Source organism: Homo sapiens, chromosome 10 (assembly GCF_000001405.40).
Source record: "Homo sapiens chromosome 10, GRCh38.p14 Primary Assembly".
Taxonomy (NCBI): domain Eukaryota; kingdom Metazoa; phylum Chordata; class Mammalia; order Primates; family Hominidae; genus Homo; species Homo sapiens.
In genome coordinates this window covers 35,587,359-35,611,525 of record NC_000010.11, presented here as the reverse complement: position 1 = coordinate 35,611,525, position 24,167 = coordinate 35,587,359, and the positions used below count along the sequence as shown (strand labels likewise).

The window sequence follows — 24,167 nt, the reverse complement described above, 5'->3', positions numbered from 1 at the left end:
TGGAAAAGCTCTTTTTTTTTTTTTTTTTTTGAGATGGAGTCTCGCTTTGTGGCCCAGACTGGAGTGCAGTGGTGCAATCTCAGCTCACTGCAACCTCTGCCTTTCGGGTTCAAGCAATTTTCCTGCCTCATCCTTCTGAGTAGCTGGAATTACAGGCATCCGTCACCATGCCCAGCTAATTTTTGTTTTTTTAATAAAGACAGGTTTTCACCATGTTGGCCAGGCTAGTCTCAAAACCCTGACCTCAAGTGATCCGCCCACCTGGCCTGCCAAAGTGTTGGGATTACAGGCGTGAGCCACCACACCTGGCCATGGACTGGAAAAAAATCTTTAAGGCTTTACAACCTAAGTTACAAAACTAGGAGAGATCTTCAGTGCCCAGTGTGACAGCAAAGAGAAGAGAAATAAGGACACCTGCATTAGCACATTCCACAGCATAGTCACGGTCACGTGAGCATGACCAGCCAAGTTCTAGGATAGGCCATGCCTCTTCTGACACCTTGCTCCTCATGGGACGGGGTCCCATCAGATGTCTTCTGTGGCCCCCAGGTCTGTCCACTCAGCTCTCAGCCATCACTCAGTAGAGTATGAAGTTGAGGACTCGTCCTCGGACCACCTGCCTCCACTTTCCACGTGGTCCCTGACTCTTTTATGACAGCTCTTCTGTTCTTAACATTTATTTTTATGGAAAATAAAATGCTGGAGTGAAGGGTGGTGCCTCTCCCCAGCCCTTCCATACATGGAAACCAGGGAATAGTCATCTATTTCTGAGCTACACCCAGATGCCTCTTTCCTCTCTTGATTAGGGTGAGCAGGTTAATCCTGTCCCATAGCAAACCTCTGCTCTACTGTATCCTCCTACCTGCCTGATTTCGGCCAGCACTAAACTTGAAGGTCACACCTGAACTTGGGCAGCACCTAGATCAAAGCCAGAATGACACTAAGCAGTGCAGAAAGGCCTGGATCGGAAGCCCAGCCCAAGACCTGCGGCATTTGTCTGTTGCTACACAAAAAGTCATAAACACAGACTGTGCATTCCACAATACCCACAGTTTTTTTCATCTTCCCCACTGGAACATGAAGATTCTCAGGGAAGTCTGAATTGTATGACTCTCTAAAGGGCACAGACAAAGCCTGAATTAAAAAACTTGTGACAAATCTATGGTCACTCCTCTACAGCAAAAGCACTCCCTCTATGCGGTGAGGACAGCCACCCAGCATACACACACAGGGACAACTCATCCTACATCCTGTGCACTTTACACCCATACACGGGAACAGTATCAGATGCCCCTGGAAACCAACTGTTTATTAGCCATATTTTCTGCATTTGTCATTTCTGCTCTAACACAATGATGTATGAAGCGTGATATTATAATGCAATCAGCATTAATTTTTGATATGGTTTGGCTGTGTCCCCACCCAAATCTCATCTTGATTTGTAGCTCCCATCATCCCTGCGTGTTGTGGGAAGGACCTTGTAGGAGGTAATTGAATCATGGGGAAGGTTTTCCCATGCAATTCTCGTGATAGTAAGTCTCACAAGATCTGACCGTTTTATAAAGGGGAGTTCCCCTGCACATGCTCTCTTGCCTGCCATGTAAGATGTGACTTTGCTCCTCCTTCACCTTCCGCCATGATTGTGAGGCCTCCCCAGCCATGTAGAACTGTGAGTCCATTAAACTTCTTTTTCTGCCAGGTGCGGTGGCTCATACCTGTAATCCCAGCACTTTGGGAGGCCAAGGCGGGTGGATCACAAGGTCAGGAGATCGAGACCATCTTGGCTAACACAGTGAAATCCCGTCTCTACTAAATACACAAAAAATTAGCCAGGTGTGGTGGCGGGCGCCTGTAGTCCCAGCTACTTGGGAGGCTGAGACAGGAGAATGGCCTGAACCCAGGGGGCGGAGCTTGCAGTGAGCAGATATCACGCCACTGCACTCCAGCCTGGGCGACAGAGTGAGACTCTGACTCAAAAAAAAAAAAAGAAAACTTCTTTTTCTTTATAAATTACCCAGTATCGGGTATTTCTTCATAGCGGTATGAAATGAACTAATACAATTTTATTAAGGGGTTTGGAGAAGTTTAATGTCTCTCTATTTTTGACATGCATAACAGATGTTTCTTTCATCCAAAGCAGAAAAACAAAAAAAACCTCATGATAATTCACTAGAAAATATTAAACATTAATAAACTATACTAATGGAAGAAAACATGCCTTACATGAAACATATGGCAAAGAATTTGATAATAGAACCGGGAGAGTGTGGCCGACAGAACCATCTCACCATCATCAGAAAGCTGACTCCAGTTCATCACTTTAGTTTTGTTGGGGCATTTGAACGTCATGTGTTTTGTTTTTTTTTTAAATAAAATGTGTTATCTAAATTAAATCCGTACTGAGAATATATCTCCTGTAATGTCCGTGTGTCCCCAGGCCAGCTCGCCCTTCTGCCTGAGGACCTTCGTTGAGTGATGAGATTTTACAGGTGCCAAAGTGAGTATGCATCAGCACAGGCATTCCCGTGTGCAAAGGACAGCCGGGCTCTCTCAGCTCTGCTTGGTGCTTTTTTTTTTTTTTTTTTTTTTTGACAGGGTCTCACTGTGTTGCCCAGGCTGCAGCGCAGTGCCGTGATCTTGGCTCACTGCAGCCTCGATCTCCCAGGCTCAAATGGTCCTCCCATCTCAGCCTCCCAAGTAGCTGGGACTACAGGAGGGAGCCACTGTGCCCAGCTAATTTTTAGATATTTTGTAGAGACGAGGGTCTCATTATGTTGTCCAGGCTGGTCTCAAACTCTTGGGCAAGGAGATATATTCTCAAACGATCCTCCTGCCTGGGCCTCCCAAAGTGTTGGGATTACAGGCGTGAGCCCCGGGGCACCGCCAGGTGCTGTTTTTTTCACACCCACTCAGACTTCCTGGCTCTCAGGTGGGGAGCACCACTGGAGCTGGCAGGCGGGTCAGGGGGCTGCAGGCTGCTGCAGGAAGGGGGCGCGGCCAGGCGGCTGGGGGCTGCTGAGGGCTGCTCCTCGGATCCTGAGCCCCTGGGGTCCTGGGCGGCCTCTCGGTGGGGCCTGCCCCGGGGCTGTCTGCCCAGCTTTTCGCTGGCGGAGGATGTCACCTCACTCTCATCCTCATCCGGAATCTTCGTGTGCCCTGACACCCTGGATGTACGCCTGGGGCTGCCAGCCCCCTCCCCTCCGGCGCGTGCACCCGGGGGCGCCGGTGCCCCCTCTTCCTCCCGCCCACCCTCCTCGTCAGTCCGGCGTCCCTCCGCGTGGCCTGAGGCTCCGCTCTGCTTCCGGATGGAGGGGCTTGTGGGGGGTCCCGGCCTCCTGCGCATCCGCCGCCGCAGGCTGCAGACCAGGTCGGCGAGGCCCAGCAGAAAAGACAGCGCGCTGACCGCCCAGAGGAACAGCATCAGCAGGGACTTCTCTGTGGGCCGCGACACGTAGCAGTCCACCACGCCCGTGCACGGAGGGCGCGTGCAAGGGAACTTCTTCGGGGCCAGGAATCCAAAGAGAAAGTAGTGCAAGGCCCCGAAGGCTGCCTCCAGCAGGGTCCGGAGGAGGAGGTGGATGATGTAGCCGGCCGAAAAGTCGGGCACCTGGAGGCCGCCGCGCTCCCCGAATGGCCGCGGGCAGCGTCTCTGCCCGGAGGCCGGCTCCCGGGGGTCGGGGCAGCGGCGGGGGCCCAGCGCGGCGAGCGTGGCTCCTCGGTGCAGGACATAGACGCTGAAGACGGCGGAGGGGAGGAGGACGCACACGCCCTGGATCAGCCAGAACCGCAGGTGAGACACGGGGGAGAAGACGTCGTAGCAAACATTGGCGCATCCCGGCTGCAGCGTGTTGCAGACAAACCTCTCCTGCTCGTCCTGGTAGACGGGTCGCCCCGCCAAGACAATCACCAGCATCCGCAGCAGCATCGTGAGGACGAACCAGAGCTTTCCTGGAAGAGAGGAAGCGGGCATGGCCTCATCACCCCGAATACACTGCCCTGAGTAACAGCTTTAAAGTGTCTATTGGGGCTGAGATTGGGAAATTGAAACGTCAATAAGCATGTCTTTAGTTTTCTGTTTGTTTGTGTTGTCGTTGTTGTTGTTGTTGGACACAGGGTCGTGCTATATTGCCCAGGCTGGTCTTGAACTCCTGGCCTCAAGTGCTCCTGCCGCCTTGGCCTCTTGAGTAGCTGGGATTACAGGCATGAGCCACCACACCTGTCAGCTTGTCTTTACTCACAGCATCAGGTAGTTCATTTGACAAATATTTACTGAGCACTGAACATCCTTGTTTGTAAGATGCTTCAAGATGAGTAGATTTTTAAAAAGCATTATATTAAAAGTGTTTTAATCTGTCTGCTAATTCAGACTTTTGGTAATGTCTCCTGGACTGATAGGTCCAGAAAGAAAGTTTGGCTGAGCAAATTAATGATTTAAATAAGATTTAAATTTTCTTCTTAGGAGAATAAGCCTTTTAAAAGAGGTTGGTGTATTTCTGTAACTGCCAATTCGAGCTGCTGATTTCAGTAAATCTTACTTATGACAACAGTCCAGGGATCTCTATTTAATCACAGGGCTTGTATTTAATGTTAGTCTACGGCCCTTGAAATTGAATTTCTTTATGAACATTCCATTTTTCAGATTTTTTAATCATTCAGAATTCCTCTTCCCCTTTTCCAGTTATTAGGAATGAATGGGGCTTGTCTTTCTTCAATGTATCGTGAAGGAATGACACCAAGCTAGAAAACCAAAATAACTGTCAAGCCCTATTTTCATGGCACCGGCCAACTGTTTCGAAACATGTTTAAAACTCAGCCAAAATAACTTGTGAATATTGTGTTTTGTGATGAGAGAAACATCGCCTGACATCATAAAAACAAAACAAAAATAAATATGTAAAGACAGTCAAACAAAGAATAATATCATTATGTGATGAGTCATTGAGTTGAACTTTTAACATCAAGTTGGTTTTGTCTAAATCTACAAAATAATGAGCCAGAAAAGTATCAACTGCATCTCCGGCATATATTCATCCTTTTCTGACCCCCATACCTCTCTGAAAATGTGAGTCGTCTGCATTAAACAAAAATCTATTATTTTCTTTGTTAAAAAAAATAACTAAACTTGGGATTTGGTTTAAAGTGCACAAGAGAAATGGCTACTCCTTAAAAATTAAGCTTCCAGGCCAGGCGTGGTAACTCACGCCTGTAATCCCAGCACTTTGGGAAGCCAAGGCGGGTGGCTCACGAGGTCAGGAGATCGAGACCATCCTGGCTAACACGGTGAAACCCCGTCTCTACTAAAAACACAGAAAATTAGCTGGGCGTGGTGGCAGGCGCCTGTAGTCCCAGCTACTCGGGAGGCTGAGGCAGGAGAATCACTTGAACCCGGGAGGCAGAGGTTGCAGTGAGCTGAGATTGCATCACTGCACTCCAGCCTGGGCAACAGAGTGAGACTCTGTCTCCAAAAACAAAAAAAAAAAACCAAGCTTCCAGAATAAAACCTAAAGGTATCACCTTCTGATTAACATTTGTTGTTCTGTTCCTTTTCCTGGTAACGTAGCCACACCAGGGTTGCACACAAACACCCCTCCACCTGCTTTGGTCTTTGGAGTCAGCACCCCAGTGTCAGCACAGGATGATCTGTGAGAGAACAATGTCAAACGCAAGACTCCCTTACATGACGGAGGAACCGCGGAACCATTCAAAGAAACTAGAAGCCTCAGCTCTCTTCCCTCCAGAAAGGCACAGCCCTTTCTTTTGGGAGTGGGTGGACTTTCAGCTTGGTGCTTGCACACTGAAAATGAGTAAATACCTGGACCCTTTAAGGACTCAATTCCACCATGGCAGTGGAAATAAAAACAGCGCAGGAGTTTGGAGATGGTCCCAATACTCACCCACCATGGTCACGTTGCAGTTTAATGTGATGATGAGAAACCCTAGCAAGTCCACGCCTTCCATGCTTCCAGAATGTCCCAGGCTCCAGGCTGCAGGAGACACTGGAGGGCTGTGTTCTCCAAGGAGGCGGATAAATGTCCTTTAACTACATAAGACTTAAAGGTGTGAGCTGGAGATAAGAAAGCAAAGGTCTGAGCCAGGAGTAGGAGGTGGGTTTTTCTGTCTCCAAGTTGAGACGGCCCTAAGCCGTTTGCCTCTGAGGCGAAACATTCCTGACAACTGCAGTGACCAGCAGAGCAAGCAGCAGTCATCTCTTATTGTGGGCTATTCTTACTCGCCTGGGATATTCCCGGCCTGTGGCAGCGCTCATATGTCCCCACCAGGACAGCCAGATGCTTCAGGATATAATAGCAGCAACTACTTTTAACCCAAGAAAGAAAACTTCTGCTAACTAGCCAAGTAAATTTCTCTATTAAAAAGGCATTTCCTCCTTGAAAACATTTCCACAACCACTTCACTTGTGCAAGAAGCCCTTAAAGTGTTCACGTTTTGTCTTCTCAATCAAGCATGAATCGCCATGCCACCATCACACGAACCCACAAGGATCTCGCCCTTATTCTGAATTCCTGTGTCATTGGTGCAGGCAGAAATCTGAAACTCAGTTGGGTGTCCCAACTTTAGACCGTGACTTGGTTATTCTCCTGCTGCTTCCTGTGCAGTGAGTGACAACTCTTCGCTTGGAGACAAAAGCCTGGGTGCAAAGCCCGGGGCAGCCCCCTACTCACTGGGGAAGTCATTGGATCCTTCCAGATAGCCTCATCTTGCAATAAGGAGAATCATGCCATTCCACTTGCCATTTGTGGGAGGCTTATGTGAAATGATGGTGTAGAATAAGAGCAACTGGTGTGAAGTGGGTGTACGACAACCCATATCCGTGGGATTTCAATCCCTAATTGGCCTCTACGACCTTCACAGATTACATCTTCCCTTTGTATCTCCCAGCCCCATCTAGCCTGGAGCTGTTCCCATTGAATCTACTTAATAAATGTCTGTTAAATCTGTCATGAAATATCACGGTCTGGACCTGCTGACATCAATCACAGTTGCGTCAAAATCCTATCGCTGCAGCCACCTTCATATCTGGGAAGAACCCATCCTGCAGGGTTGGGGATCTATGATCAGGGTGGAAATTGTAAACTTTAAAAGGAATGATTTCAATTTTCCATGAAAGCTATTCTTTATATCCCCATCTTTTCTTCATTTCTGATCTATTCTTGACTTTAGTAATATCCCTAGAAAGATTCCCAGAAGAGTGCAACAAAGCTACTTTCATCTTTGCTCACATGACATGCTCCCATCCACGGAAAACGTTTTGACCCCCTTGAAAGGAACAGTGGTTTTGCTATATTTTAGTCAAATGCTTCGACATGAGCAAGGAAATTTGAGAAATTGTAGTTAAGTAAAAATATTGAAATAGTCACAGGGTGTAAGTATAAAATAAAGGAGAATTTGTCTCCTAATAGACTGCTCATGGTATTGGCTTTAAAAAAAAAATGAAATATCAGGAAAGCAATTACTGACTCTTGCTGTGTGATAGAAATAGCCCATCCCAAATGTGGAATAAATTAGCCCTGCGCGACCATGAGCAAATCACTGCAGCTTTTCATGCTTCGGTTTTCTCATCAGTGAAGCAGAAAAAAAGAATGTGTTCTTCACCCACTCACAGTGACTGTGATATGCAAATGTGACCAGAGATGTGAAAATGATTTTGAAATGTAAAGAATGACCCAGTGTCAGTGACAGGCGCTTCTCAGGGTTGGCTCCTCTGGTCCCACCCTTCAGGGCATCTTCTGAGCAGCCCATGCCCACCCATCTCCCTTCTCATCCTGGTCACCTTTGCTCTTCCTCCTTGAAGTCTACCCCATCCCCATTCCTTGTCTTTTTTCTCTTTCTCTTTTTTTCCTCTCTCCTGCTAGGTGACATTTTGCTTTACTTGGAAATCTAACTCTGGTCAGGCGCGGTGGCTCACGCCTGTAAATCCCAGCACTTTGGGAGGCTGAGGTGGGTGGATCACCTGAGGTCAGGAGTTCAAGACTAGCCTGGCCAACATGGCGAAACCCCATCTCTACTAAAAATACAATAATTAGCCGGGCATGGTGGTGGGCACCTGTAGTCCCAGCTACTTGGGAGGCTGAGTCAGGAGAATCACTTGAACTCAGGAGGCGGAGGTTGCAGTGAGCCCAGATCACACACCACTGTACTCTAGCCTGGGTGACAGAGCGAGACTACATCTCAAAAAAGAAAAGAAATCCTAACTCCAGTGGCTACCTGAAGCTAGCTGGAGGTAAGGGAAGCAGAGAAGGTGGAGGCATCTGGGCATCAACTCCCGACTCTCTGTAAGAGCATCCCAGCACCGATGGGAAGGTTTCTGTATGTGTCTGTGGATTAGAGAGAAGATGTGGGGAGTGCTGTGTTCAACCCATGGCCAAAGAAACCAGCTGGGAGTCGGGCTGAAGTGTACAAGATGCCAAACTGGGATAGTTCACTAAACGCAAGTGGTCAGCATGGGCCCTGTGGCTCACATCTGTAATCCCAGCACTTTGAGAGGCCGAGGATGGAGGATCACTTGAGGCCGGAAGTTCAAGTGATCACCCTGGGCAACATAGAGAGCCTCATCTCTACAAAAATGTTTTTAAATTAACCAAGTGTTGGCATGCTTGTGATCCCAGCTACTCAGGAGGCTGAGGTGGGAGGATCACTTGAGCCCAGGAGGTCAAGGCTGCAGTGAGCCATGATCATGCCACTGCACTCTACCTTGGGCCTCAAAGCAAGACCCTGTATCTAGAAAAAAGAAGAAAGTGTTAGCAAAAAGGAAAGAGAACAATAGCACTACATGGCACTCAGCCTTGGCCTCACCTCTCTCTAGTGTAGTGACTTTGGCAAATTATCTAGGCCTCAGTTTTACCATCTATAAACTGGGGTAATGATACTAAACGTACAGGGTTGAGAATTAGTGTTCATTTAAATAAGGTTCTAGCACATTATCTGCCCGGTAAGAAGCTCTCAAAATATGATGAGTTCAGTCAATTCTCATTATTCATAGTAGCTATGTTTTATAAAGTTACCACCAGCACTGCAATAGTGAATACTAGGGGCTCCTTGGGGAAATACACAGTTAGGTGACAACACTTTCACCAATCAATTAACACATTGCCTTATTTTATGTGTGTGTCTGTTCAAATAAATCTTATTTAATATATATTAAACATATATTAACCCATTCACATTAAATCATGGCCCACAGCACTATCACTCACATCTGAATGAAACCCATCTAACACATTCTGAATGTACTTTCTCTGCAAGCCCTGGCACAGCCCTCCTGCACTCAGAAGAACCAGCCAGCACTCGTGCAGCGCTGTGCTTGGGACCATTTTATTTTATTATTAAAAAAAATTTTTTTTTAGAGACAGGGGCTCGCTCTGTCACCCAAGCTGGAGTGCAGTGACATGATCATAGCTTAGCTCACTGCAGCCTGGAACTTCTGGGCTCAAGCCATCCTCCAGCCTCAGCCTCCTGAGTAGCTGGGACTGCAGGGTTGCATCACCAAGCCTGGCTAATTTTTTAGTTTTTTGTAAAGATGGGGGTGTTGCTACATTGCCCAGTCTGGTCTCGAACTCCTGGCCTCAGGCAATCCTCCTGCCTCAGCCTCCCAAAGTGCTGAGACCACAGGTGTTTGCCACTAAACCCATTGGGGGCCACTTTAAATGGCAAAATCACCAACCAAATGCACAAAAATGCAAAAGACATGGCACTAACCAGACCTTGGGAGAAAGTACCCATTGACATTGTGAGAGCAGAAACAAAAAGGCAGGGCAGCCCCTGCTTCCACCCCAGCTGAGAGCACATGTGTCAGGCGACGCACATTTCCCACCACTCTGCATGTGTCCATGAATGGCGGAGAAAGTCTTATGAGTATTGGTTTGGGGATTATGAATAAATTTTAGCAAGTAGATGAACTTGCAAATAAGAAATCTGTGAATATGAGGACCGACTGCACCTAATAGAAGGATCAACTAGCGAGAAGAGCAGCTGAGTCCCAGGAAGGGCCAATTCAGAAGAGAAACGGGTCCCTGGGAACCCCAGGGACTCAGAGTCACAAAAATTGGAGGAGGATCCAGGCTCCAGACCCCACCCTCTTACTCCTGCTTCACTTAGAACACCTCCACTACTGTCTGTGTTGTCTTTTATGCTTTGGCCAAGACTCCCCTTGGATAAAGCGTTCTGCATCTAAAAAGGAATGTTGAAAAAGAGATGGTCTCTGTGAGAATTATTATGAGAGGCAGCTTGATATCAAGGTTAAGGACAGAGGCTCTGCAGTGTGACCTCCTAGATTAAAACTCCAGCTTCTTGACTGTGTGATTGTGGGGGAGTCACTTAACTCAGTGTCTTCACTGTAGAACCACGGTTCCCTACCCCCTAGAATGATGGCAAGGAATACATGGGAAAATGCCTAAAGCCTAGAGAACGGTGCCCCACCAATAATGCATACCCAATCACTGGCTTTTCTTTTTTATTACCTGCCAAGAATGATGTACCAGCAAAGATGCAGGAGGCTTGGAGTGACTTTTTCTCGATGATGGGTGCTCCAGGGCTGGTGGGAAAAGGGCTCCCAGGGAAATAGAGTTCACTTTCTGGAGGGCTAGGAAATGATAGTAACTGTTTTGTTTTGGGGGGTGTGTGTGTGTGTGTGTGTGTGTGTGTGTGTGTGTTTAAGGAATCATGTATCTGATTTGAGAAATATATGTTTTCATTGTTATCAAGATGTAAATGACTTTTCCAGGACTGTAGACAGAAAGCAAATATTTAGCAGCTGCACCAACACAACAGTTTAATCATGCCTACAGTTGCATCTCATCTGCATATGCAAATCTACCCCCAAAATAGATTATACTACTTTCCTGTCAATCTAGTTTCCCACTGGCACAGGTACTGTAGGGTGAACCAGGTCAGTGCCATCCCACCCCAGCCACACTCACAGACTCCCCCTCACAAGACTTAGAGCTAAAAATTAACCACTGATACAAGGAAGAAATTTTCTGTTTTCTTCAGCTGAGCCTTTTCCTGCTCTTAAAGTCCCCAAACAGTCGTTCTTGGACTGCATTTTCAATTCCAGTTCAACTCAACTGCACAGCTCCCCAATGTCTTCTCTACCAAGACAGCATTCACAGTGCCCCCTGGAGTTTGTTTTTGAGGCAGTTGGGCTGGTTCTTCTATGCAGAGAGGCATAGCTTCTCTCCCAAGGGAGGAAAAGAACTTCCAAGCACTGTTCCCACCTCCGACAGTCCTAAGATCTTCCAAGATACACTGAATGGACACAGATTCATTCTCTCAATCATACCAAAATGATGCCTCCTCCCCAAGCCACAGGAGGGCATGCTGGCCAAAGAAGACCCCAGAGGAAAGTGCTGAACTAAACAGCTGCCTATTAGATGCAAGCAGGTCAGATGAGGCTGCAGGTTAATAGATATCTCACTTGTGAGATGTGCATCAATGCGCTTAAATCACATTCCCCAAGGCAGCAAAGACGGGCCCCAGTGTGGAATGCATAGACCCCCAAAATTCCACTTTCCACAGACTCGCGGACCCAGGCATCTTTGGAAATGGAAGTCACCTTAAAATATACTTAGTCACCTTCCCAACTTTCAGGTGAAATTAAGATGTGGCCAAGACCATCCAGCCTCAGTACAGAGCTTAAATGATATTTGCTATCCCTGACTTTTGATCTGTAACACATCAAAAACACACACAAAAAATTCAACTGTCCTGACTGTTAAGAAATACAATTATCTGGATAGCCCAATGTTAGCCCTTCAAGTGTTTGAAATTGTATTATTTTAACTTTTCTATGGAATTTTTTCTAAGGCACCCTTCAGAAACAGCAGAGGCCGGGTGCAGTGACTCACTCCTTCAATCCCAGCACTTTTGGAAGCCAAGGCAGGTGGATTTCTTGAGCCCAGGAGTTCTAGACCAGCCTGGCCAACATGGAGAAATTTCATCTCTACTAAAAATAGTAAAATTAGCCAGGCGTGGTGGTGTGTGCCTGTAGTCCCAGCTACTTGGGAGGCTGAGGTAGGAGGATCACTTGAGCCTGGGAGGCGGAGGTTGCAGTGAGCTGAGATCACACCAGGCCACTGCAGTCCAGCCTGGGCCACAGAGCAAGACCCCGTCTCAAAAAAAAAAAAAAGAAAAGAAAAGAAAAGGAAAAGAAATTGAGCAGAAAAATCAGGGGAATTGAGTTTTCTTTTGTGAAGAAAGCAAAGGACTCCACCATTGCTCACAGGTCCTGAGCAATATGTCAGGACACCCTTCATGTGATATCAGCTGCAATCAAATCCAACACATGTTCTCACCATCCAGGCAGGAAGGAATCATCCTCTTCTTTGTCATTGTTTCTAACAATGCCCTTTGACTTACTGATGCCTTTCAAAACATTACCAATAGTATCATGAACACAGTTAGTACCATAAATGTTCCCTGAGCACCTGCTGTGTCTTCAGCACTGTTCTTGGCACTAGGGAAATGGCAGAGAATGAAGTATAAAAATTCCTGCCCTCACTGAACTTACATCCTAGTGGGAAGAATTGACAAAGAACAAGATAAATGTCTTCAGCAAAATTGACTGTTAGTAATAAGTTCTAAGGAGGGTAGTGGATGCCAAGGTTTAATGGGGTAGCCAGTGTCCTAAGAAGAATACATTTGAGTAAAGACAGAAGCCGGTGAAGGGGCAGCCACGTGGACGTTATGACCACGAGCCCTCCCTGATGAATTCCTGCTCTCTTTTCTAATTCACTTGGACCAGTGGCTGCATGGCACATTTTGAAAATTACTAAAATGCCCTAAAATTCTGTATAGTGTATGCACATGGACCAAGTTACCTCCTGCAGCCTGTCTGTAACTCGTGTCACCTGTCCCTCGCAGGCTAAAGTGACACTACCCAGCAGGGACCTGGTGGAAGCATTCCCAGGCGTCGTTTTCTCTCCAACACACAGGTGTCCAGCAGGGGTCTCTGCACTGGCCACAAACACACTGTTCCTTTCACGGATGGGAATATTCATTTTTAGAGTCAAATCAATGAAAAAAGTACTCATCAAGCAGTCACTGGTAGTCAAAGAAGTAATTAGGAGAAAACAGCACAAAGTTCAAGGGTAGAGGACGTGGGTTCAGTTCTGGTTCCAATTGCTGACCAGTGTTTGACCTTCAGCAAATATTAGGTTGACACAGAAGTAATTATGGTTTTTGCCATTAATCATGACGTTGCCCAGGCTGGTCTTGAACTCGTGGCCTCAAATGATCCTCCTGCTTCAGTCTCCCAAAGCACTGAGATTCCAGGTGTGAGCCACCTCGCCCGGCCACAGGTTCTCTCTCTAGGTGAGTGGCACCAAGATCCATCTCACCCAAGCAGAAAACTAGTACTCAGTGTCCGTGAGGTATGTTTTAAAATTTCACTGCTTAAAGCTCTTCAGTGGCTCCTCACTGATGGTGCCAAACAGAGCTTGCCTGGCCCTGCGAGCCCTGGACTCCGCTTGCCTCTCGGGCCTCACCCTTTACTCCCCCCGACCCTGCAATGGCACTGACCTTGCACGGCCTCTGATCTCTGCTGCCTCTGAGACTTGCCACAGCCGTTTCCTCTCTGTGACTGGCTCCCAGGGATTTCTATCTCCTTTGCCCAAGACTGGGTTGGGTGTCCTCCTCTTGCGGTGCTCATTATGACAAGAAGCACATGCATTGTCAGAGCAATGCCTGCCCTGCCCAGCCTCTCTGCCCTGCCACCCCCAGCCCAAGACCATGTGAGGCTCTAGTCCTCCCTGGCCAAGATGTGCCTTTGCACTCACTGCCCCTCAGCTGGAAGTCAGCTCCACTTCATCAACAGTAGAGAGAATACGCTGGGAAGAGGTCCGGCCAGTCTCAGTCCCCCACGGATCCTGAATCTTTTTCACTCAGTTGTGAAACAGGGATAATCAAAGCTCCTACTTCTCAGGGTTGTAAGAGAATGAAACGAACTAACAAGTGTAAACTGCCCAGCACAGCAGAAACATCCGATAAATAGTAGGAAGAATTCGGTTTGCTTCGTATGTTTCTTTTTTTTTTTTTTTTTCTGAGACGGAGTCTCACTCTGTCACCAGGCTGGAGTGCAGTGGCATGATCTCGGCTCACTGCAACCTCCGCGTCCCAGGTTCAAGCAATTCTCCTGCCTCAGCCTCCCGAGTAGCTGGGACTACAGGCACACGCCACCACGCCCAGCTAATTTTTTTATTTTTAGTAGAGATGAGGTTTCACCATGTTGGCCAGGATGGTCTCAATCTCTTGACCTCATGATCTGCCCGCCTCGGCCTCCCAAAGTGCTGGGATTACAGGTGTGAGCCACCACGCCTGGCCTTCTTCTTGTCGTTCATACTTCTTTCACATGGTCCATTTTTTGTGTGTGTACAGGGCTGGCCTTTTTTGGCATGGCCAACCAACTGGAGTGGTTCTTTCTCTTTGCTCAGTGAATGAAGCAGTCACAACACACCAGAGGCTATTTCTCATGTCTCGAACCCTTCCTGATTCAACGTTCCCTGGCATGGGATGTTCACTGTCAACCATTCGGTCCTGACCTCTCTGTGTCCACAGCCCTTTCCAAAGCCTAGGGCTCCCGATGGCCAGACATTTGTCCAAATCTTAATTATCTGCAAAAGTGTGTTGCACTATTTCTCTGATGGAACAGATTCCATGACCCGCTGAGGCCTTCCAAGAGCACAGCTCCCCAGCAATCAGTGGCAGCACCCCTGAATGGAGGGTGCTTGTCCCACGAGCGCTAACACCCACAGGCAATGCACTGCCAGCCGGAGTTCTTCTGTGCTTTGCAACCAGCATTTCACAAATGGCAGCACTGTATGTTTGCAGGGAGGTCCTCTCTGCTTGGAAGCAGTGCAGGCTTTGCTTTTTCAAAATTTTAAGTTATCGTGTTTTATTCTCTTTGTTGTATATACCATTGAAGAAGTTAGTCTTTTTAAATTGACACATGATAATTGTACATAGTTATGAGTACAGTGTGATGTTCCAATACACGTATAGACTGTGTAATGATCAAATTGGGATAATTAGCATATCCAGCATCTCAAATACTTACCATTTCTTTGTGATGGGAACATTCAAAATCCTCTCCTCTAGCTATTTTGAAATATAGAACACATTATTGTTAACTATGTCACCCCACTATGTGACAGCACATGAGGACTTATTAAGAAAGCTTTCTTCTTACATTCTTTTTTTCTAAGTAGTAAAAGTAGATGGAGGAGGCCAGGCCCGATGGCTCACACCTGTAATCCCAGCACTTTGGGAGGCCGAGGCAGGCAGATCACCTGAGGTCAGGAGTTCGAGACCAGCCTGGCCAACATGGTGAAACCCCATCTCTATGAAAAATATGAAAATTAGCTGGGCACGGTGGTGCCCACCTGTAATCCCAGCTACTTGGGAGGCTGAGGCAGGAAAATCGTCTGAACCTGGGAGGCGGAGGTTGCAGTGAGCCAAGATCATGCCACTGCGCTCCAGCCTGGGTGACAGAGTGAGACTCTTTCTCAAAAAAAAAAAAAAAAAGTAAATGATTGTTTTCCTTCCCTTCTGGATAACAGGCAGGCAGCTTACGGACCCTGGGTAGGGCCTCCTGCCTCAACACACCTATGCCTCTTGTCTAACATCAAATATTAAATACTTGAGGTCTTCTGGCTTTTAAGGGTGATAAAAATTAAAATCTCTGGGAGAGGCAACTCACTACGTCTTATCAGTCATCTTTACTATGGTGTGAGTTAGAAACACTGCTCCTGGAAGCAGGCCTTTCTGTGAAGGTAAGGGCCTGGGGTGGAGAAGGGGGCCAATGGGATGTCACGGATATTTTCCCATGCTGCAGAGCTCCAGCATCACACAGAGCAAGGCCAAATTCAGGATTAGTGAGTCCTCATATCGACCTCCTGTTCATTTTTACGTTTTAGACAATAACTGAAAGAAGGAAGGAAAGGGAAAGAAAGAGAGAGAGAGGAAGGAAGGGAGGGAGGGAGGAAGGAAGGAAGGAGGGAAGGAAGGAAGGAAGGAAGGAAGGAAGGAAGGAAGGAAGGGAAGGAAGGAAGGAAGGGAAGGAAGGAAGGGCGGGAGGGAGGGAAGGAAGGAAGGGTTGGGGGAAGGGAGGGAGGGAAGGAAGGAAGGAAAGAAGGAAGGAAGCAGGGAGGGAGGGAGAAAAGAGGAGAGGAAGGAAGAGAAGAGAGGAAGGGAGGGGAGGGAACAGAGATACAGGCAGCTGTGATCATGGTGACTTCAGCATCAGATGATTAGTCTTGTTAAGAGAGAGGAACTAGTCCACGTTTTCCCTCTGTGTGTTCTCTTTGTTCTCTGCCGTGAAATATTAGAAGAGGGAATGAAGGAATTCAATCCATTTTAAAACTCACAACTGTTAGATGCCAACCCTCCAAACATTCACAGCCACTTTGATTCAGGACGAGGTTTGTTCCAAATGCGGATATATTCAGAAGGGCCAGACAGTAGTGTCTTGAAGCACAGGCGACAGCTAATTTATCTCTGAGCTAATGTCCCACCCTGTGGGACAATTTGTTTTGTTTGGTTTGGTTTGGTTTTTTAGAGACAGGGTCTTCCTCTGCCGCCTATCATCACTCAGGCTGGAGTGCAGTAGCCCAATCACAGCTCACTGCAGCCTCAAGCTCCTGAGCTGAAGCAATCTGCCTGCCTTAGCCTGAGTAGCTGGGACCACAGGCACACACATCACCATGCCTTGCTAATTTACTTATTTATTTTTGTAGAATAGGGGTCTCACTATGTTACCCAGGCTGGTCATGAACTCCTGGCCTCAAGCAATCCTCGTTTGGCCTCCCAGAGTGCTGGGATTACAGGTGTGAGCCACTGCGCCCAGCTGCACCAGCAATTTGAAAGACAGGTGATCTCGGGAGGTCTTTTTAATTCAAATTTTCTCTTAAGGAACACAAATGAAAGGAAGGTAGGGTACATTCCATTTTGTTTGCTGCAATGCAGTGGCTATGGCCTGGATCTCCACGGAAACCAGCAATGCAATTACCAAGCTCTATTTCCAGATGAAAGCAAAGACAAACAACAAAGTAGGAAAATTAAGTATGAGAAAAACGGACAACAGCTTCAAATCGACTGGGTGAAGGGACAGAGTTGGATCTGGTGGCACCACTGTCGTAAGGATCACTTTTATACCCATGAGTGTGATCTGGGTCCCCCGTGAGCCACCAACCCTGGTGGGTGCACATGCACTTCACTTCTGTGTTCGATGGTCAAGGCCACCCAGCCGGTGAGGGGAAAAACTGGGCCTGACATGGACGCTCCCCACCCCATATGCCACAGAAGTGTGACGGCCTCAGCCTAAAGAGGACCCATTCTGTGAGGCAGCTACAGGAGAAAATGGAAGGAGCCTTTTGCTTTTGCTTTTCTGTTGTTCTGTTTTTCACTTCCCTAAAGGAAGGAATGAGAGTTTATTATTGAGTGTTTCTGAAAAGGAATGAGAGTGGCCTTCAACAATAACACACTGAGCATCTGCAGTGTGCCGGACAATGTGTCGGGACTGCGAACAGGTAAGACGCAGGCTTTCCCCTGTAGGAGAGGGAGGCAGTTGAGTGTACTTCCAACAGCAAGAACAGTGACCAGCTTCCCATGTCCCCAGAGGCAGAAGACATGGCCGCATAACAATAGTGAATAGTAAGGTCTATAATAGAGTATGAAGAGAGCAAGAAGGAGACAACTAGGGCTGTTTTCCTTCTTGAAGTATTAGCGCTTAGCCTTACAAAGGTTGAGGGAGCTGCATAGTCATCCCTGCTAGTCCAAGTGTCTACATGCCCCCCACGCTAGGGTCTGCCGGAACCCACGGAATTGGAAATCTAGTGGAAACTCATGTTAACGTTACAGAAGACCTCCTTTGGGGTTCCAGTTAGGCTTGTCCCACAGTGGCCACCCCGTTTTTCTACCCATTCTCCAAGCAAGTGGTGAGCTATGAGTGCACTCACACGATGAAGAATGGTATTTGCATTACACACACACGCCTGTGGGTGAGGTAAGTTAGAGAGAAGAAAATAAGTCTCTGTGAGATTTCACAACTGCCTAACACCACGCAGGCTGTAGATGACAAGGCTGGGATTCTATCCCAATTGATTTGACTCCGAAGTCCATATTCTTCCCACTTGACACAAAGAAGCCACTGGGAGACCCAGGGAGAGCGTCATGGAGAAGCTCTCATTGTCAGGCAAGACTATAAGAGACAATCTTTGAGAAGTTGCTTCTCCTTTCTGGAACAAGCTAAGATCTACAGCAGGCATGCTGGCAAGCAACTTCAATCTTTCTTGGAAAGAGCTGGCATAAGAAAACTCAACGGATGATTAAAAGGCAACACAGAGCCCTTCTTGTTAGCTCAGTTTGGGTTTATGAAAAGACTCTGTTAGGGTAATCCATTCTAATCCCAACACTACCTCCAGGCAATTTCCTTGGGAAATGGGACTGAATTTTAAAAGATTAAATGTGTGTATATAAAGCATATATATAAATGATTTTCCCAAGGGGTGGCTCCTCTCTCATCCTAAGTGAGGCCTTGCTGGCTTAACTATAACGAGTGCGAATCACCCTGAACACTAATCCTTTTCCTTTTTCAAGACGTATTCTTCATAATGTGAGCGCACTCATAGCTCACTACTTGCCTGAAGAATGGTAGAAAGTGGGGTGGCAGCTGCAGTATAAGCCTAACTGGAACCCCAAAGGAGATCGCTAGTCCCATGTCTTCTGTAATGTTAACAATGAATCTCCACTAGATTTCCAATTCTGTGGGTTCCGGTGGACCCTAGGAGGGGCTTATGTAGACACTTGAACATAGCAGGGATGACTAAGCAGCTACCTCAAACTTTGTAAGGCTAAGCACTAATACTTCAAGATGGAAAACAGCCAACAAGAGCTTAATGATTTATTGGATTCAAAAATGGAGAGGCAAACATTTAAGGAAAATACAACATGACACATGTCTTTTAATCTTTTAATCTCTGTGCGTGTGTTCTGTATTTCAACCCTATTTGAGCTTCTTAAGACCAATGTCGAATCTGTTAAAGTGTTTTCCTGTCACCTAGGTTAATGCCCAAGGATAGTGTACTTAATAAATTTATGTTGATAAAAATCACCTTGCAAATATCTGTGTGGAATTTTTCTTTTTAATTTAAAACAGTAGATATAGATGTTATTTCCTGATTGGCCGGTTTTATGTATTTTGAAGTTTTGTTATCAGGTGCGTACGTATTAAGATTTGCATGGCTTCTTGATGAATTGACCTTTTTATCATTATGAAATGTCCCTCTTCATCTCTAGTAATATTTCTTATCCTGAAGTATATTTTTCTGAATCAATGTAATGATTCCACTCATTATATTTGTTTTCTTTTAAATCCTTTACCATATTTAGAATAACTGGTCTAAAGTTCCTCATCTGTAAATTCCATCATCTAGATCTATTATTTCTGAATCTATTTATACTGACTGATTTCTTTCCTTATTATGGGTCACATTTTCTTGTTTCTTAATCTGTCTAGTTGTTTTTATTGCATGCTGAACATTATATGTGTTATGTTGTTGAATGTCTTGATTTTATCTTCCTTTAAACAGTGTTAAATTTTGGTTTGGCAGGCAGTTAAGTTGTTTGTGTATTACTTTGGTCTTTCCCAGGCTAATTTTAAGCTTTGTTAAAACGGGTCTAATTTAGCCCTACTATCAGGGTTTTATATTTCCTGAGTCTTGACTGAATTTCTCAGGTGTTTAAGAAGATCTCCCAACTGTAGCTAGTCAGAACTTAAATATCTCCTTGCCCTGTGTGAGACTTAGAATTGTTCAGCTTAAAGCTTCCACTCAAAGCTGTTCATTTCCTGACTTAGAAAGTTCCATGCTTTGCATGCACAGTTTAATATTCAGCCCAAGACTCAAGAGGACTTCGACGTAGATTTCTGGAGTTCTGCATAGCTTCCTCCTCTCTGTGTCTCGCCCTACACACCTCAGCTGTGCCAACCTCCCTAATCTCTGATCTGTGGCTTCTCAACTCAGTGAGACCCCTCTGCCCTACCTGGATACTTCCTGGATGCCATTCAAAAAGTGCCTCCAGGTAAAAGCTCAAACTATCATAGGACTTACTTCATTTCTTTCCATTGTGTCAGAGAGCATGATCCTTTGCTGCCTGTTTTCAATAGCCGAACATTATTGCTTCCCATATTTTGTCTAGTTTTTTAAGTTATTTGCAGTGGGACGTCTAGTCCAGTACTATTTATTCTATCTTGGCCATGAGCAGAAACCTCTGCCTGATCATCTGCATCAACCTCGATCCCAGTTTACCTTTACCCTGGGGATGCAGAGATATAGTAAGATACTTCCTCCCATGAATCTGTAATCTGTCTTTGCTATATGAAGATGTGTGCTTGCCTCTCTGCAAGCAACCTGAAATAAAATATTCTAACCAGGCCATGAAAATGATAAAGTCAACCTGGACATGATCATGTATGGGGCAGATTGTGTACACTTAGGAAAGAAACAAAAATGAAAAGTAAGAGAAAGGAAGAGCTGGAAAACCAAGGAGAAGAGAAGGAAGAAGAAAAAAAAATCACAAAAACAATAATGCCATGATCTGAATGTTTATGTGCTCCCCAAATCCATATGTTGAAATCCTAACCCCCAAGGTGATGTGATATGAGGAGGTGGGGCCTTTGGGAGGTGATCAGGTCATGAGGGTGGGGCACTTATGAATGGGATTGGTGCCCTTATCAAAGAAGCTCTGGAGAGCTGCCCTGCCTCTTCTGCCATGTGAGGACACAGCAAGAAGTTGCTGGGTCTAGGAACCACGAAACACCCTCACCAGACACTGAATCTGCTGATGCTTTGACTTTGGACTTCCCAGCCCCCAGAACTGTGAGAAGTAAATTTCTGTTGCTTATAAGTCACCCAGTTCATGGTATTTATTAAATAGCAGCCTGAATGAACTAGGACAAAGAACAGACATGGAAAATGAACTAGAATTTTAACTCTCCATGACTTAAGTTTTACAAAAGAATAAGACTCTGCTTCCAGCCCTGTGGCTCTCCAGAAATGCTGTGGGCATTGAGACATGGATTAGAAATAGAAACCAAAATATTTCTGTTTTCATTCATTGAGTTTTCTCCCATTTGCAAGGAAAAGCATGCTTATGATAAGAAATCCTTATACTAGCAAGAGTAAACTATTGCTTTTCTCAGTGACAAAGGTTGTTTTGTTCTATTTTTTTTTAATCTTGCATGCCATACTGTTTATTACCTCCCATTTTCAATTATTATTATTATTATTATTATTATTATTATTATTTTGACAGGATCTTGCTCTGTCACCCAGGCTGGAGTGCCATGGTGCAATCATGGCTCACCGCAGACCCAATCTCTTGGGCTCAAGCAATCCACTTGCCTCAGCCTCCTGAGTAGCTGGGACCATAGGCACGTGCCACCATGCCTGGCTAATTTTTAAAATTTGTGTCGAAATGGGGTCTTGCTATGTTGCCCAGGCTGGTCTCAAACTCCTGGGCTCAAGAAATCCTCCTGCCTCAGCCTCCCAAAGTGCTGGGATTACAGGCGTGAGCCATCACAGCCAGCCTGCCTTCTATTTTTCAATAAATAAACTATAAACTTGGGGCTCTCAGCCTTTACAGGTGAGGAAACATCTTGGTAATTCAACACCTAATTCTCCCCCATGCCTGAAATTCCTCTCACAATGCAGGCATTACACCCCTGTCTCTGTGAGAGACGTCATGAGGCACAGAGAATAAAACCCCTCACCATGTCTTCTGTAATGAGGGTAACATACTGTCCATTTCTTTATGAAGAATCCCCTCTCTTCCCTTCAGATTGCAAATCAAAACTTGATGGCCTCCTATGATTGTGAAAATATTTTAACTTAACAACTGAAACAAATATAAAGTTCTCAAAGGAAGCAGTGAATTTTGGCACTGGAATGAAAGTAGGTATAGAGTGCTGGAGAGTCCAAAGAGTTGAGCCTGTTTCTAAAGCTGGGCCGGGTGCAGTGGCTCACACCTGCAATCCCAACACTTAGGGAGGCTGAGACTGGAGGATCACTTGAGCCCAGGAGTTTGACAGCAGCCTGTGCAACATGGCAAAGCTCCACCTCTACAAAAAATACAAATAAAAAGAAATTAGCCAGTGTGGTGGTGCATGCTTGTCATCTCAGCTACTCAGGAGGCTGAGGTGGGAGGATCACTTGAGCCCAGGAGGTCGAGGCTACAGTGAGCCATGATCATGCCATTGCATTCCAGCCTGGGTGACAGAGCAAGACTCTGTCTTAAACAACAAACAAACAAAAACAAAAACAAAAAACAGCAACAACAACAAAAATAAAATACTTGAGCTGAGCTGATTGATACAGCTACTGCACTGTAGCTCCATTAGCTTCTGCAGCAAAATGCCTTCCTCTGTGCAGTTTATGACATCAATAAATAATTGACCCTAAAAGCAACAGGTGTGGAGTTCTTCCTTCTATTTCTAACTTCTTACTTAGCTGTTAAAAAACAAAACCCATGCTGTTGCCAGAGTGATCAAAAACAGAAGGTCTTTTTCTGACAAAAGACAGATGGGTTGAAATTAACTGTGCCTTTGTTTATGTCATTTTGGTTTTGGCTCAGTTTGTTGTTGTTGTTTTTTAAGCTCTTATTCAATGAAAGCCTTAGCAATGAACTGAAACAGGATGGAAATTGCAGGGCATTTCTACCATTTCTCAGGAACAACCAAACTCTAAAAGCAGTTGCTTTCTGTTTCTCTCTCTTTTCTGTTAAATTGGATACTGAGGCAAACCAGGAGCTGAAGATATCCAAAGTTCTCTCAGAGTACAGCACTTTCAATATGGCCATTGGGAGCCATTATTTAAGGGAGCAAGGACAGGATATGCATGAGCTTCTGACAGTAACTACACAGATATGCTTCTTCTCTTTGGAGCTGAGAGGAGAAAAGGATGGTTTCGGGCAAGAATTCCTTTCAGCCCCCACAGGAGGTCATTTTCTGTTCCTGCACTTACAGCTCCATCCACCATTTTCCTTAGTGTAAGGGGGGGCAGCTCAGAAGGAGTTAACAGCAACTTGGGAGGCTGAAGCAGGAGGATTGCTTGAGCCCAGAGTTCAAGACCAGCCTGGGCAACATAGCAAGACCTCCATCTCTACAAAAAATAGAAAAACAAGTTAGCCAGGCGTGGTAGTACATGCCTGTAGTCCCAGCTACTCAGGAGGCTGAGGCAGGAGGATTGCTTGAGCTCAGGGGTTCAAGGCTGCAGTGAGCTATGACCATGCCACTGTACTCCAATCTGGGCAACAGAGGGAGAACTTGTCTCTTAGGAAAAAAAAATGTGGTAACACTCGCTGATTCTGGGGCTGGTAGCAGATACAGGAGCCAGTCGAGACCTGAGGGGTGGGGTGTGTGTCCTGATCCACACACTCACAATGAGGATGTGCCCAGAGCCAGGGTGGGCCTGGGCCTGCTGTTGGGTGGAGCCCTAACTAGGAATGGTCCTGGGACCTCAAGGAGCCCTGCACGCCGGGCCACATTGTACTGGGCCCCATCTTCCTTCATGTGAGCCTTGCCTTCTTTCTGTTCCCTGACTGCCACTCTAAAGTGCAACCTAGAGAGGGAGACAGCTCAGATGACCTTAGCTATGACAACACCAGCAACTGACAGAGATGGAGAGGGAGGGGTGTTCTCTTCAGATGGAGAGGTACATGCAGAAAGAAAACCACATGGCTGGCTGGGTGCAGTGGCTCAAGCCTATAATCCCAGCCCTTTGGGAGGCCAAGGCAGGTGGATCACCTGAGGTCAGGAGTTCAAGACCAGCCTTGGCCAACATGGTGAAACCCCATCTCTACTAAAAATACAAAAAATTAGCTGGGTGTGGTGGTGGGCACCTGTAATCGCAGCTACTCGGGAGGCTAAGGCAGGAGAATTGCTTGAACCTGGGAGGTAGAGGTTGCAGTGAGCCTACATCGTGCCACTGCACTCCAGCCTGGGCAACAGAGTGAGACTCCATCTCAAAAAAAAAAAAAAGAAAAGAAAAGAAAAAGAAAACCACATGGCCACGGCCACCTAAGTATTTGTAGTCTCAGGAGAGAGGACAGAGAGAGAGAGAGAGAGAGAGAGAGAGAGAGAGAGAGAGAGAGAGAGAGAGAGA

At 46.2% G+C, this 24,167-nt stretch overlaps 1 protein-coding gene and 1 long non-coding RNA gene across 3 annotated transcripts, besides 2 other annotated features; one reads left to right on the top strand and one right to left on the bottom strand.

The window, feature by feature from the left end:
* Window positions 1–2,590: 2,590 nt before the first annotated feature.
* GJD4 (gap junction protein delta 4) lies at window positions 2,591–6,185 on the bottom strand. The gene is made up of 2 exons (NM_153368.3): window positions 5,895–6,185; window positions 2,591–3,948 (listed from the first exon to the last, which is right to left on the bottom strand). The coding sequence occupies exons 1-2, from the start codon at window positions 5,956–5,958 to the stop codon at window positions 2,900–2,902; spliced, it is 1,113 nt and encodes a 370-aa protein (NP_699199.2). The 5' UTR covers window positions 5,959–6,185; the 3' UTR covers window positions 2,591–2,899.
* On the top strand, window positions 3,333–6,964 carry GJD4-AS1 (GJD4 antisense RNA 1). Of its 2 annotated transcripts, none has more exons than NR_199599.1 (2): window positions 3,333–3,790; window positions 5,561–6,964. It is a non-coding gene; the product is annotated as a GJD4 antisense RNA 1 (long non-coding RNA). The 2 variants fall into 2 exon arrangements; NR_199600.1 differs by having other exon boundaries at window positions 3,333–4,000.
* Window positions 10,278–10,528: a silencer, noted in NCBI's record as "fragment chr10:35889926-35890176 (GRCh37/hg19 assembly coordinates)". NCBI's record gives its function as "represses an EF-1alpha promoter that drives an FKBP-Casp9 reporter gene in an ReSE screen in K562 erythroleukemia cells {active_cell/tissue: K562}" and the evidence as "EXISTENCE:reporter gene assay evidence [ECO:0000049][PMID:32094911]".
* Window positions 16,609–17,251: an enhancer, noted in NCBI's record as "OCT4-NANOG-H3K27ac hESC enhancer chr10:35883203-35883845 (GRCh37/hg19 assembly coordinates)". NCBI's record gives its function as "activates a minimal SCP1, AML or CMV promoter by ChIP-STARR-seq in primed H9 embryonic stem cells {active_cell/tissue: H9 hESC(primed)}" and the evidence as "EXISTENCE:reporter gene assay evidence [ECO:0000049][PMID:30033119]".

Bases quoted from the DNA above. Each gene is read 5' to 3' on its own strand.
- GJD4 (NM_153368.3), bottom strand. From the start codon at position 5,958: ATGGAAGGCGTGGACTTGCTAGGGTTTCTCATCATCACATTAAACTGC. The intron at 3,949-5,894 runs GTGAGTATTGGG...CCTCTCTTCCAG, and splicing joins CTGCAACGTGACCATGGTGG to GAAAGCTCTGGTTCGTCCTC.